The following is a 15,273-nucleotide window of genomic DNA, read 5'->3' on the forward strand; positions in this document are numbered from 1 at the left end:
AACTCCACTGAAGCAGGGGGCAGTAGGGTTTTTTAAGGGTTGGAGTGAGCAAGTTGAGGAGTACTGGGCCGAGTGCAGTGGCTCACACCCAGAATCCCAGAACTTTGGGAGGCTGAGGCGAGAGGATCACTTGAGTCAGGAGGTTGAGACCAGTCTGGGCAGCATGGAGAGATCCTGTCTCTACACAAAAAAATGTTTTGTTTTGTTTTTTTTTTAAATTAAAACTTTAGCCAGACATGGTGGTGCACACCTGTAGTCCCAGTTACTCAGGAGGCTGAAGTGCAAGGATCGTTTGAGCCTGGGATGTTGAGGCTGCAGTGAGCTATAATGGTGCCACTGTACTCCAGCCTGTCAACTGAGTGAGGCCTTTCTCAAAAAATATAAAGAAAAGAAAAAGAAAAGAACTGGAACATAAACTCCTCCTATCTTTTTGATACGAGGTAGCTTTTCAAGTGGGAGCACAACACTCACTGACGTTAGGCTCCCATCCTCCCACACTGAGGACATAGGGCACTATCTGCTTTGATGATTACATTTCAAAGAGGTGGCTCCTGGGTCCTTGAGAAAGACATTCCTGGGTGGTAAAGCTGGCAAGAGGAGATTATATATATATATATATATATATATATATATATATATATATACACACATACACACACACACACACACACACACACACACATATATTTACATACATCTCAAAGAGGTAGAGAAAGACCAGTGCAGCTGAGAAACAAATGCCACCCCTCAAAGGAGACGATGACACATCATGCATGGAAGAAGTAGACTACGCTCTGGCTGAGGAATGACTTCTACATGTGTTCAATGTTCTACAATTCCTCTGATAGTATATTTTCAAGGATTTTTTTCTTTATTTTTGTTAACACTTAAAAAGTCTGTATGGCGGCTGGGCATGGTGGCTCACTTCTGTAATCCCAGCACTTTGGGAGGCTGAGGCAAATGGATCACCTGAGGTCAGGAGTTTGAGACCAGCCTGGCCAACATGGTGAAACCCCATCTCTACTAAAAATACAAAATTGGCTGGCTATGGTGGTGCATGCCTGTAATCCCAGCTACTTGGGAGGCTGAGGCAGGAGAATCTCTTGAACCTGGGAGGCGGAGGTTGCAGTGAGCTGAGATTGTGCCATTGCACTCCAGCCTGGGCAACAAGAGTGAAACTCTGTCTCAAAAAAAATAAATAAAAAAAATAAAAATCGGTATGGCATGACAATACTTTAAGGGGAAGATAAGATTTCTTTCTACTTCTAAATGATACTGTGATACCTTAGGCACTAAGGCAGAGCTAGTAATGCTTTCGTAGTTTCACATTGGCTTATTTTAACAGATCAAGGCAACGTGTGTTGTAAGTATGTAAACTGATACTAACCTTGTGGTCTAAAGTATTTAGCTATCAAGCCAGATTCCCTAGTAGACCAAGTCTTATTATCAAAGTGTTCTGAGGTGTACCTTGATGTTTAGGAGAAAAGTATTTGTTAACATCTTCTAGGATCTACTTTTTGAACTTTTCATTCCCTGTAGTTGCCAATTCTGCATGTGCTAGTCCTCTAGAAATAGGTTAAACTGAAGCAACTCGATGGAAGGAACTCTCCACAGGGCTTGTTTTCCAAAGAAAAGTATTGCTTGGAGGAGCAAAATTATTAGCCTACTCTAAGCATCATAAAGTGTTCAAAAAATTGGCCGGTTGCGGTGGCTCACGCCTGTAATCCCAGCACTTTGGGAAGCCCATGCAGGTGGATCACCTGAGGTCAGGAGTTTGAGACTAGCCTGGCCAACATGGTGAAACCCTGTCTCCACTAAAAATACAAAAATTAGCCGGGCGTGATGGTGCATGCCTGTAATCCTAGCTGCCCAGGAGGCTGAAGCAGGAGAATCGCTTGAACCCGGGAGGCGGAGGTTACAGTGAGCCGAGATTGTGCCACTGCACTCCAGCCTGGGAGACAGAGCAAGACTCTGTCTCAAAAAAAAAAATAAGATAAAATAACAAAAACTCAGAGCCAGGCTTGCGGATGGAAATGTAGTGCCCGAGTCACATTCTGCTTAAAGTTGTAATGAATACAGATGAGTTAAAAGAGAGAAAAAAAAAAGAGGTAGAGAAAGAATTTAAAATGACAAGTTTTTTAAAGTAAATGCTCTGCAGGCAGGTGTTGTGGCTCTGGTCTGTAACTTCAGTTACTCAGGAAGTGGAGGTGGGAGGATCCCTTCAGCCCAGGAGTTCAAGACCAGCTTGAGCAACATAGCAAGATCTCATCTCAATTTAAAATAAAATAAAAATTTTTAAAAATGAAGTAAATGCTCTATGAAAAGGAAACCCAAGGGCCTAGAGGCAGTAGGAACTGGTTTTCAGTAGTAAAGTTGAGGGGCATGTGGAGTCCATCTTGGCTTTCCTCTGACAGCCAGTGAAGATGGAACCCGTATCCGCACACTGAAGCTGCTCCCTGGGCTTGCTGCATGCCTGCCTGCAGGTTGGTTGAGCTTTGCAGGAAAGCCGCGTTGGCAAGTGTGCCAGGACCCTGAACTGCTTTGGGGACCGACAGAATGCAAGTCTGAGGCCGTAGAGACTTAGGGAGGGGAAGTGCAGCTGCTGTTTGCTGCCAGATGCTGGGTGTGGGTTTGACACTTGCTTCCCCTTGGTGCAGAGAGACTCAGGCCCTCGTTGGTTCAGAGCTAGATGCCATTGAGCAGATACGCTTGCCTGGAGTAAGGCTGGGGGCCTTAGTGGGTGGCGTTGTGGGGGTCTGTGTGTTTCTCCCAAGTCCTACCAAAGACCTCACCTAGGATTGCCACAAGAGCCACATTCAGGGGAATCTCGGGCCCAAATGAGGCTGGGGCCTCTGTCATTTTTCCTGATTCAGCTCCATTCTGTCTCCTGCACCCACGCTCCTCAGACACTGGCACTTCTGTCCCTCCTCCGTTTGGGGCCTAGGGAAGTTTCACCTCCTGGCTAGGAGTGGTAGTACTCTGAGGGGTTTGCCAAATGGCTCATTTAGAATCTGCTTGTGTGGGGAAGGAAAGCAGCAAGTTGCAAAGGAATGAATGAGAGGGCACAAGAGAGGGGAGCTTGGCCTGTGCCACGCTGTGGGGCCAGACTCTTGGCTGGACAGGAGGGGATGAAGATAACGCACACAGCTTGGATCATGTTTCCTCCCATATGACAGTGGAACCACTTCTGGAAGTTTCACCCTTTTTACTATTTATTTTAAACCTGAATAAGTAAATAAAGCCCCTGCCCCCTACCTCAAATCAAAACCCAAAACCTTCCTTGGGGTTTCCAGGAGCAAATGAAATTAAAATGTCTCATCTGATGGTCATCAGGAAGAGTGCTGATGGGTGAGTCTTCTGGCTTCCAAAGGGTGGGGCTAGGGGGTGTGTTGGAGCTTCCTCTTTGCTGCCCTGTGGTAGCTTAAAGCCCCTTTTCCTGGACCTGGTTGTTTTGAGTCAGTTCAGTGGCTTGGCCCTGCCGCCTGGGTCCAGAATTCTTCCCCTACCCCATACTCATTTTTTAACTTATTTTTAATTTTTATTTTTTTAGAGATAGGGTCTCACTGTGTCACCCATGCTGGAGTGTAGTGGTGGAACCATAGCTCACTGTAGCCTTGAACTCCTAGGCTCAACAATCCTCCTTCCTTAGCCTCCCAAGTATCTGGGACCACAGGCATGCACCACCATGCCCAACTAATTTTTGTTGATTTTATAAAAATGTGTTTTAGAGACAGGGTCTCGCTATGTTATCCAGGCTGGTCTTCTGACCCTGAGAGATCCTCCTGCTTCAGCCTCCTGAGTAGCTAGGACTACAGGCATGCATCACTACTCCAGGCTAATTTCTCAATTTTTTTTTTTGTAGCGATGGAGTCACACTATGTTATCCAGGCTGGTCGTGAACTCCTGGGCTCAAGCCGTCCTTCTGCCTCTGCCTCCCAAAGTGTTGGGATTACACATGTGAGCCACCACACCCAGCCACTCATTTTTGACATAACAGTACAAAAGGGTTGATGAACTGTTTTGTAAAAAGAAACAACAATAACAAATGAAAACCAAAAACACCCTCTCTCACTGAGGGAGAGTTGGGTCCATTTTACCCAAGCATTAGGGGGTAAGCCCCACCAATTTGGAGCCACAGTCTTGGTGTCAGAAAGCTTAGGTTTCCATCCTTGTTTTACTCCTTTCTAGCTGTGTGAGCTTAGAGAAGTTACTGATCCTTACTGAGCTCTTCTTTTTTTTTTTTTTGAGATGGAGTCTCACTCTGTCACCCAGGCAGGAGTGCAATGGTATGGTCTCGGCTCACTGCAACCTCTGCCTCCCGGGTTCAAGTGATTCTCCCGCCTCAGCCTCCCGGGTATCTGGGACTACAGGCATGTGCCACCACACCCAGCTAATTTTTTGTATTTTTAGTAGAGACGGGGTTTCACTATGTTGGCCAGGCTAGTCTTGAACTCCTGACCTCGTGATCTGCCCGCCTCGGGCTCTCAAAGTGCTGGGATTACAGGCATAAACCACTGCGCCCGGCCTGAGCTCTTCTTTAAAATGGGAATCGTATGTAACTCTCAAAGGGGTCAAAGGAATTAAATTAGAATATACTCCTGACAGCCCTGGCAGTGCCCTGGCATTGGGTTGCCAGATGAAATTCAGGAAACCTAGTTAAGTTCAAATTTCAAATAAATATGAAGTAATTCTTTCATATGTGCAATTATTGCAAAAACTGTGTGTCCTATAGTTTTATTTGCTAAATCTGGCTACTGCACCCTGGCATATTACAGGAGTTGGTAAATGTTTCCACGTTTTGACTTCCTCATAAGCCCATCTACAAAGGGCTTCAGATGGCCAGGCATGGTGGCTCACGCCTGTAATCCCAAAACTTTGGGGGGCCGAGGTGGGCGGATCATGAGGTCAGAAGATCGAGACCATCCTGGCTAACACGGTGAAACCCCGTCTCTACTAAAAAAATACAAAAAATTAGCCAGGCGTGGTGGTGGGCGCCTGTAGTCCCAGCTACTTGGGAAGCTGAGGCAGGAGAATGGCAGGAAGCTGAGGCAGGAGAATGGCGTGAACCTGGGAGGCGGAGCTTGCAGTGAGCTGAGATTGTGCCACTGCACTCCAGCCTGAGCGACAGAGCAAAACTCTGTCTCAAAAAAAAAAAAGAAGAAAGGGCTTCAGACACTGCCTGATTTCAATGTTGCTACGTTGTGGTTTGAAGGATGGGGAGATAAGGAAGGTGAAGGTATAAAAATTGGCTAAGATCTCAACCTTATGTCCACAAGTAGAAGAGCATAAAAATAGTATAAAAATACTGAAGGCCAGTACAGTGTCCTGCGTGATCACGAATTCACCCTTTATGGTGTGTATAAATAAGTTTCAGGGTCTCCCAATAATTCACCATTATCTAGAAATTTAAAATTCTGTTTATAATGATATGGAAAAGTGCTTATGGCATCATTTTAAGCAAGAAAAGCAGGGAAAAAATGTAGCTACATTGTGATCTCTACCACATTAAACTGCATAGGAGAAAAAAAATCTGGGAGGAAATATGTGAAAATAACTGTGTCATTGGGATTTATGTTCATCCCTGCATCTTTATACCTGGCAATATTATCCAAAGTTTCTATAATGAACTTACTACTCTTAAAATTAATCTGAAAGTTCTCTCTTAAGTTATGTTTATCATTGTTTTACATGATAAATATAACTCTTAAGTTATATTTATCATTGTTTTACATTATGAATACAATTCTAAATGAATTAAACAACTTACGGGAAATATAACTTCAAACTCTTAAGAATGGACGTAATATAGAAATTCAGGGTGTAACAAAACCATATGATCTTTAAAAATACCTTTGTTATGAAATATAACACAAACAGGAAAGTGGATGAAACAAGAATGTACAGCTGAACACGTTTTCATAAAGCAGAGACCCAGGTAACCAGCAAGGTCAAGAACAAGAACACTGTCAGCCCTGCTGAAGCCCAGTGTTCTCTTGCCCAGTCACAATCCCCTCAATTTCCCTAGTCAGTTTGTTATTTACTTCCTTTTCCTTTCGTTTCAGTTTGACCACCTAAATTGTGTTCCTAAAAAACATGTTCTTGAACTTGATATAAATGGAATCATCTGGTAAGTATTCTATTGTGTCTGGCTTCTTTCACCCAACATGCTTTTAAAAAGGTTCACTCATGGCCAGGCATGGTGGCTCACGCCTGTAATCCCAGCACTTTGGGAGGCTGAGGCAGGTGGACTATGAGGTCAGGAGATTGAGACCATCCTGGCTAACATGGTGAAACCCCATCTCTACTAAAAATACAAAAAATTAGCCGGGCATGGTGGCGCATGCCTGTAATCCCAGCTACTTGGGAGGCTGAGGCAGGAAAATCGCTTGAACCCAGGAGCGGAGCTTGCAGTGAGCTGAGATCATGCCACTGCACTTCAGCCTGGGTGACAGAACGAGACTCCGTTTTTTAAAAAAAAAAAAAAAGAAAGAAAAAAAAGATTCACTTATATTGCTTACCACTTTAATTTAAACTTCTTCATTTTTGTTGCCATATTAGCATTTCAAGGTAGAACTATGCTCCTGTTTCTTGATTCATCCTACTGTTGATGTGCAATTGGGTGACTCCCAAGTTTTGGCATGGCAAACTGCTGCTGCTATCAATATCCTTGTCTGCGTCTCCTGGGCCCATGTACTCACGTGAGCTGATGTTTTAGCTTCTGTCAGCTAACCTAACTTTGTGGTAATGAGATTTATATCTATACACATCCACGACTGTAAAAGAAAAAACTGATACAGACACTGGAGTTTGGGGATCTGAAGTTGTGGATCTTGTTGTCATGAATTAGTTCCTATTAGTGACAAATTCATATTTCAGAGGACTAAAAACCCAGCAGTTTTCATACATATCAGAATAAACCTGCTGTTAGTCTAAATGCTTTAACAATTCTTTTAAATGGAAAGAAAAAGTCTGAAAAGTCTTTTTATTTTAGGCCAGATGCAGTGAATCCACCTGTAATCCCAGCACTTTGGGAGGTGGAGGCAGGTGGATCACTTGAGGTCAGGAGTTCAAGACCAACCTGACCAACATGCTGAAACCCTGTCTCTACTAAAAATACAAAAAATTAGCCGGCGTGGTGGCGGGCGCCTGTAGTGCCAGCTATTCAGCAGGCTGAGGCAGGAGACTCGCTTGAACTCAGGAGGCAGAGCTTGCAGTGAGGCGAGATGGTGCCACTGCACCCCAGCCTGGGCGACAGCGAAACTGTCTCAAAAAATAAATAAATAGTCTTTTTATTTCAAAATGATAGCATCTAAATGTGAAGGTTTCTGCTTTGTGACTAATAAAAACATTTGTCAATATTCCAAATTAGACAGTTTTGCTTTGAGTCAGAATTAGAAATTTCTTTGCACCAGAAGAGATTTTAGAGACACTATGTAGTTCAATCCCTTATTATATAAATAGTAAGAAAAAGCTCTTTAAGGTCAAATGTCTTCTCCAGGCCATACTTAGCTAGGGAGTTTAGAACCAGGACTTCTGACTTCTAACCTCGAATGTTATAAAACTTCCTAAAAATATTACATGGCACTACCTTTCAAACTATGGCATGTGTAGGAGACTAAGAATGTTATTATGCCATTGCCACTGTCACTGTATCTGATTTATTAATTAATGCACCCACCTGAGCATGAGCCTGGCTGCTTGATTTTTCTGCCATCTCAATTTTACAACAGAGATATGGGTAAGATCGCAGATATTATGAGGTGAAGAGGCAGTGGTCATATTTTGCAAAATTTTGGTACACATGGCAACAGATGGCTGTAAATTGCTAAATTCTTGAAAGTCACAGCTTGAAAGTTACCGTGACCATCTAGTGCTGACTATGGAATAGTAGTAAGGTGCTGGGGACAGGGACTTCTGTGAAGCTCTGGCTCTGATTCTCAAATGCCAGCTTGAGATCTGAAACTGACCTGGGATGGCATTTTTCTTGATCTTGGTAATAGAAGAGAAAAAAAGGACATATTAAGAAGTTTTTCATAAAGTTAACTTTGTTCAATTTGAAGGACCACTTTTTCTATGCTGAGATCTGTCCTTCCTACTTTTTGTATGTATTAAAATATCCTTTTAAAAATAGTATATATATATATATTTGACATGGAGCTTCCCTCTTTTGCCCAGGCTGGAGTGCAGTGGCGCAGTCGTGGCTTACTACAACTTCCGCCTCCTCGGTCCAAGTGATTCTCCTGTCTCAGCCTCCCAAGTAGCTGGGATTACAGGCGCCCACTACCATGCAGGCTAATTTTTGTATTTTCAGTAGAGACGGGGTTTCACCATGTTGGTCAGGCTGGTCTCGAACTCCTGATTTCAGGTGATCCACCCACCTTGGCCTCCCAAAGTGCTAGGATTTCAGGCGTGAGCCACCACGCTTGGCCAAAATAGTATTTTTTTGAGACAGAGTCTCGCTCTGTCGCCCAGGCTGGAGTGCAGTGGCGCAATCTCAGCTCACTGCAACCTCCACCTCCCAGGTTCAAGCAATTCTCCTGCCTCAGCCTACCAAGTAGCTGGGATTACTGGCACAGGCCACCATGCTTAGTTAATTTTTGTATTTTTAGTAGAGACGGGGTTTCATCATGTTGTCCAGGCTGGTCTCGAGCTCCTGGCCTCAAGCGATCCACCTGCCTTGACCTCTCAAAGTGCTGGGAGTACAGGTGTGAGCCACCATGCCTGGACTCTCCCCTCACTTTTAGTGTCCAACTCCTTCATTAAGAAGCCTTACATTTTAGCCCCCTCATCCTGCACTAGTTGAGAAGGTGATTTGCCAGCCATGCTCCCACTTCTTCATTCCCTGGCCACAGACTAAACCTTGCTGTGGGTGATGCTCACTTTCAGTTGTGTATTGGCTCTGCAGCAATGAAGGAGGAAAGACCCCATCTTTTGGGGCCCTCAAGTTTACCGGTAACAAAAGGATAAATTTTTGTTGTTTTGAGCCACCCACTTCATGGTGGTTTATTACAGCAGCCCCAGGAAACTAATAAGCTTAGGAGTCTAGACCACTAGATGTGGCAGGGAGTAGAGGGAAAAAGGGCAAGATTTCTAGGGACTGATGGAGTCTCCTAAAACCTCTCTACAATGGGGCGGAAAAAAGAAAAGAATATCCATGCTGCTTCTTCACGGTATAATTAATGAATGTAAGTATGGAGGAATCATTATCTGGAGAATACTTTTCTCTTTTTAGTCACGGAAGAATCAGAATAAATGTTTTGGGATGGCGTAGGAAAATAGATTTTTGTTAGATAGGAATCTTTTTTATCTTTTGTTTTTTTTGAGATGGAGTCTTGCTCAGTAGCCCAGGCTGGAGTGCCATGGCCCAATCTCAGCTCACTGCAACCTCTGCCTCCCAGGTTCATGCGATTCTCCCGCCTCAGCCTCCCGAGTAACTGGGATTACAGGCACGAGCCATCACGCCTGGCTAATTTTTGTATTTTTGTAGAGACAGGGTTTCGCCATGTTGGCCAGGCTGGTCTGGAACTCCTGACCTCAGGTGATCCACCCGCCTTGGCCTCCCAAAGTGCTCTTATTACAGGCATGAGCCACTGTGCCTGTCCTAGATAAGAATCTTGATGCAAACAGGTATTAGGTGCTTGTGTGAGGTTAGAATCCAAAATATGTTTCTAAAAAGCTAGGTATAAATTAATTTTTAAAATTAATATATTTTAAATGTATTCATATTATAAGAGTACTTAAAACAATTGTATGATGATTTCATTCATAAGGGAAAGAATAAATGAGACTTTGAGAAGAAATATTTATACTCTAATATGTAATTTGTATATATAGATTTTCATGTTTCCTGTTTGCCCCAAACAAAAATTATCTGTACAACGGAAGAGAATAGGTTGATTTTAATTGAAGATTTTTTATTAAATGCCAATGCCTATAAATAGGCTTCATTAGATCAGGTATTTTTGTCTATACTGTTTACTTAGGATGAATGATACCTACACTTAAACGTTCAATAAGTAGTCGGGTGCAGTGGCTTACGCCTGTAATCCCAGCACTTTGGGAGACCGAGATGGGTGGATCACCTGAGGTCAGGAGTTTGAGACCAGCCTGGCCAACATGGTGAAACCCCATCTCTACTAAAAAAAAAAATACAAAAATTAGCTGGGTGTGGTGGCAGGCGCCAGTAATCCCAGCTGCTCAGGAGGCTGAGGCAGGAGAATCACTTGAGCGCCGGAGGCGGAGCTTGCAGTGAGCGGAGATTGCGCCACTGTACTCCAGCCTGGGTGACAAGAGCGAGATTCCATCTCAAAAAAAAAAAAAGTTCAATAAGTACTTGTTGAATGAATGTCCCAGGTAATTTACATTATTAGGGTATTGGGGTGGGTTTACGCCGCCTGTATTTCTGTTCTAAAACTTAATTGTTGCCACGTATGGAACATCTGTTTACTTTGGTGAGGCAGGATGTGAGAAATAAGAACAAGACAAAGAATTATGGGATTAAAAAGGGTGCACTAAAATCTGAAAAGCTATCAAGCCGTATCTATAAAACAGATTACCTAAAATGATAGTAGCAATCCAAGCTCTTGATTGAATTCAGATTGTAAATTTTATGAGGGAGGGGTAAGACTTCAGAGAGACCATAAGGTCTCATCCTGCCAGTGAACAGGGAACATATTAATTCAGTTTGGCCACCTGGGGCCCATTTAGTGCACTAGAGCAGTAATTTGCTAAATGGGTCCCTCATAGTAAAAAAGAATGAGTAAACAGTGAACAATTTAGGCATGGTAAACCACTAGTAGCTCAAGGGATATAAAAATGTGAAACTATAATTAGATCCCTTGTTCATAATGTAGGAACTAAATGTATTACATTGTATATTGCATCTTTCTGAGTTTATTTCTGGACACAGCTGAGCCCTTAACAACTCAGACTGAAATCATCCCAGCTATCAATTTATGCCTCTATTAAAATTCCAACTGCTTATATTAGAAAATAAACCTCCAAAGATGACTTCTTTTATCTTAGTTCTAAGGATTCAAACAGAATTAACCTAGATGCAGATCATAGCAAGTCAGTTATAAATCACACAGCATAAAGTAAACTGTGGCAATAAATTGAAAATTGTGTTCTCCTTTTCTAAACTTAGATGTGAAAATATTTTAACAAGTTGGCATCAGGATTCACAACTTTTGCATCTGATGTTTCTTTTCAGGATTATCTTTTAGCATTTCAAAATGGGATTCTTTGGAAAGTGTGGTTAGTCAGAAATGTGGTATTAGAACGTACATTTGGAACACTTTAAAGGGGGGCATTCATGATGTATGTGGTTTTAGGATACTGGTGTATTCCCCACTCCACTTTCAAGTAGGAGAAGCTGCCATTTCATGGGTGTCTGGAACACATTTGTCTTTTATTGAAATCTTTTTCTTATTTGGAGAAATTGTATAGAGTGCATTGGCACAGATGGTCTGGGTGATGTTTCCCGATACTAGCAAGCTCTAAGTACAAGTTTCATTGCCCTTTATCAATTTGTTCTTTCAACTACAAGGATCCAGTTGATCTGGCGGTAAGGGATTGTTTATTCTTCAGGAGCTCTCATTTTCTTTCTGTTTCTTCTCTTACCCCAAGCTTAGTAACATCACTGGGGGCTTGGGTCAGAACAAGGGAAGGATTACACAGTGGACCCCGGCCCTTTTGCTCTCCCCTTAGCTCTGATTTACATTATTCTGCATACAATGGAATATGTCATCTTCAGATGATGGACTCTATGCATGAAATCCAGGAAAATTGTATTTTAGGTCCCCACCCCTCCAAACACTGTTTTTATGAGGTAGGAATGTATTTCCTTCTTCGTTATGCTGAGGTACTGTAACAATATTCATCCTGTTCATTTCCTGCCTCCTCCCGACACCACTTAGTATTAGGTATCCCAGTACCAAGCCCCTATCTGCCAGGAGTGTATGATGGCTCTCCAGTCCCCATTTCCCCATTATTTGGATACTAAATCCTCTGAGCAATGTCTTTATTTTTTTTTTGAGACAGAATTTCTCTCTTGTTGCTCAGGCTGGAGGAGTGCAATGGCGCAATCGCGGCTCACTGAGTCCTCCGCCTCCTGAGTGGCTGAAATTACAGGCACCCGCCACCACGCCCGGCTAATTTTTTGTATTTTCAGTGGAGGCGGGGTTTCGCCATGTTGGCCAGGCTGGTCTCCAACTCCTGGCCTGAGGTGATCCGCCCGCCTTGGCCTCCCAAAATGCTGGGATTACAGGCGTAAGCCACTGCGCCCAACCTGAGCAATGTTTTTGGTACAAATTTTTTTCCCCTTGAAAAAGGTGTTTTAGTTATAAATACCTTCAAAGAGTAAACAAAATTGCTAGAGAATAAAAAAGGCAGAGTTGCGGTGATTGTGTAATGTTAAATAATAGGAACCATGGGTGGATTCAATGCGGTATTGTAATTTCTTAGAGAAGGAGCAATGGCGATAGAATTTATGATTAGAAGAAACATTCTGGGTTAGGTGTGGTGGCTCACGCCTGTAATCCCAGCCCTTTGGGAGGCCGAGGCAGGTGGATCACTTCAGGTCAGAAGTTTGAGACCAGCCGGGGCAATATGGTGAAACCCCATCTTTACAAAAAAATTTAAAAAGTAGCTGGGCGTGGTGGTATGCGCCAGTAGTCCCAGCTACTCAGGAGGCTGAGGCAGGAGAATCGCTTGAACCCCGGAGGCAGAGGTTGCATTGAGCTGAGATGGCACCATTGCACTCCAGCCTGGGCAACAAGAGTGAAACTCCATCTCAAAAAATAAATAAATAAATAAATAAACAAACATGCCGGCCGTGGTGGCTCTCGTTTGTAATCCCAGCACTTTGGGAGGCCGAGGCATATGGATCACCTGAAGTCAGGAGTTTGAGACCAGCCTGGCCAACATGGCAAAACCCTGTCTCTACTAAAAATACAAAAATTAGCCGGACGTGGTGGTGTGTGCCTGTAATCCCAGCTACTTGGGCGGTTGAGGCAGGAGAATCGCTTGAACCTGGGAGGTGGAGGTTGCATTGAGCCGAGATGGCGCCACTGCACTCCAGCCTGGGTGACAGAGGGAAACTCCGTCTAAAAAAAAAAAGAAAAAATAAAAATAAAATAAATAAATAAATATAAAGGGGTTTGTAGGAAATCAACTAAGGAATATAAAGAGGTATACAAATTCCATGTTTTAGTACTGAAATTTAACATGTGCCTTGTTTTTTAAATTTTATTAAAGGATGCCTAAATTAAAGGACTATTCTTTCAATTTCTAGAACAAATAGTTTGTGTCGGGGCTACTGAAGGCACAACACAGATCAGTGTAGTTGAAATTTATCTCAATATAATTACCTCTTTGGTTCTTCCCTTTCTTTCAGAGACTGATCCTTCAACAAATGCACATTTTCACTGACTCCAAAAAATTTCATTCAAACTTTGGTCTGTATTGCCTGACTTCTTAGACTAGGTTAGTTCCTCTTGTTTTATGTCTATTTCTGTGGCACCTTGTATTTTCCCCTTCTGTACTTCTGCTGCATTTTTTGAATGTTATTCTTTCTAACCTGTAAACTCTATGAAGGCAGGGACAGTGTGTGATTTATTCAACTGCTATAACACGGTGACTGGTACATAATAAATGTTTGTAATTATCTGTTAAATTAATTGACTTGAAAATGTTATCACTCTTGGGAGAACTTGCAATCTCCCTAATTTTTCATATGTTGCTGTTGATTGAATTTAAATAAAATACATATTATTAATAGATTCATGAGGCTAAGGGGTGAAACTTTAAATGAAAATACAGAAAATCATCAGGAATGTAAAAAATCATTGAGAAATATTTATTTTTATCTCCACAGCTTCTTCATTCTTGTTCAATGAAACTGTGATAACCTAAGCGGTAAGTTCCAGTTGGTCTCTCTCTCCAACCCCCTTCACTCTTCATCTGCAAGTTTAGTCACTTTATTGAGGTTAAAACAGGTCATAGATAGTATGTGGTTTAAAACTGTTTAAAAGTTTCACATGTGAAAATCCGGATTTAGGGCCTGGCGCGGTGGCTCACGACTGTAATCTCGGCACTTTGGGAGGCTGAGGCGGGCAGATCGCTTGAGACCTGCCGGGGCAGCATGAAGGGACTTCCCACCCCCACTAAAACAATACAAAAAATGAGCCGGGCTTGGTGGCAAGCCCTGTAGTCCCAGCTACTCGGAGGATGAGGTGGGAAAATCACCTGGGCCCGAGAGGCGGAGGTTGCAGTGAGCCCAGATCGCGCTACCGCACTCCAGCCTGGACGACAGACCCACTCTGTGGCCAAAAAAAAAAAAAAAAAAAAGAAAAAAAGAAAAAAGAAAGAAAAAAAGAAAAGAAAAATCCCGAATTACAAAGCAATTGGGGGAATGGTAATTCAATTAAAAAGGTGTACAACATTCTTTTAAATAGTAAACTGCCCAATGATTACAACATTGATTCAACTGACGAAAAATACAACTTTTCAGACCACGACTAAACATTGTGGCAGTAGAAACTATTTTTTTTTTCCCTGAATGATGAAAGAAAAAAACCAGAGAAGACGTTAAGACAGAACACGTGGAAAAAGCCCATCTCATACTCCATTCTAATGTTTCTTCTACTTACCAGTGCTTTCTGTGTCATTAAACTACTTCAGACTTCAAGAGCAATGGGAAACAATGAAACCTCAGTCCTTTGCTATTTTCCTTTTCAGGTACAGGAGAGGGAGAGGACAGACTTAGGGTTGTGCCTTCGAACAAGCACATTCAACGACAGCCTCAGTTAGAATTCCCAGACGCTGCCTGTCTTCCTGGGTCTTGAAAAAGTGGGGAAAAAGTGAGGTTGGCCCACTCAGACTGCCAGTGATGCTGTGGTGTGACGGGTGTGTATCTCTATCTCATACAATGGGCGCAGGTGAGGACCAGGACCTGCGACCTTCGTACGTTTACAGTCCCTGAAAGCCCTCACCTTTAATTAGTAGGGAAAATAAAAGTCATCTGGCAAGCTGGAGTGCGGGTAAAATACAAGTTAATGAACATGAGCATTCGTGTTCATTAAGAACTCTGGCACAGAGTTCAACGGCAGAGGGCACAATACTCACTGGCCACGGCCAGCTGCTGGCGGCCAGGAGAAGCAGAACCAAAGGACCGCTGGGACTTGTAGTCCACCATGTTTCCCTCGGGATTGCCGATCCCCTTACGAGAACCACAACTCCCAAGGTTTACCGCGCGCGTCGGTCTTCACTGCC

The 15,273-nt window shown here is 43.0% G+C and overlaps 3 annotated features.

Moving 5' to 3' along the window:
* Window positions 2,645-2,694: a silencer, noted in NCBI's record as "silent region_9515". NCBI's record gives its function as "represses an Ori minimal core promoter by ATAC-STARR-seq in GM12878 lymphoblastoid cells {active_cell/tissue: GM12878}" and the evidence as "EXISTENCE:reporter gene assay evidence [ECO:0000049][PMID:35858748]".
* Window positions 14,878-14,937: an enhancer, noted in NCBI's record as "active region_13435". NCBI's record gives its function as "activates an Ori minimal core promoter by ATAC-STARR-seq in GM12878 lymphoblastoid cells {active_cell/tissue: GM12878}" and the evidence as "EXISTENCE:reporter gene assay evidence [ECO:0000049][PMID:35858748]".
* Window positions 15,028-15,137: an enhancer, noted in NCBI's record as "active region_13436". NCBI's record gives its function as "activates an Ori minimal core promoter by ATAC-STARR-seq in GM12878 lymphoblastoid cells {active_cell/tissue: GM12878}" and the evidence as "EXISTENCE:reporter gene assay evidence [ECO:0000049][PMID:35858748]".

The sequence above is a fragment of the Homo sapiens genome, chromosome 18 (genome assembly GCF_000001405.40).
Source record: "Homo sapiens chromosome 18, GRCh38.p14 Primary Assembly".
NCBI lineage: Eukaryota > Metazoa > Chordata > Mammalia > Primates > Hominidae > Homo > Homo sapiens.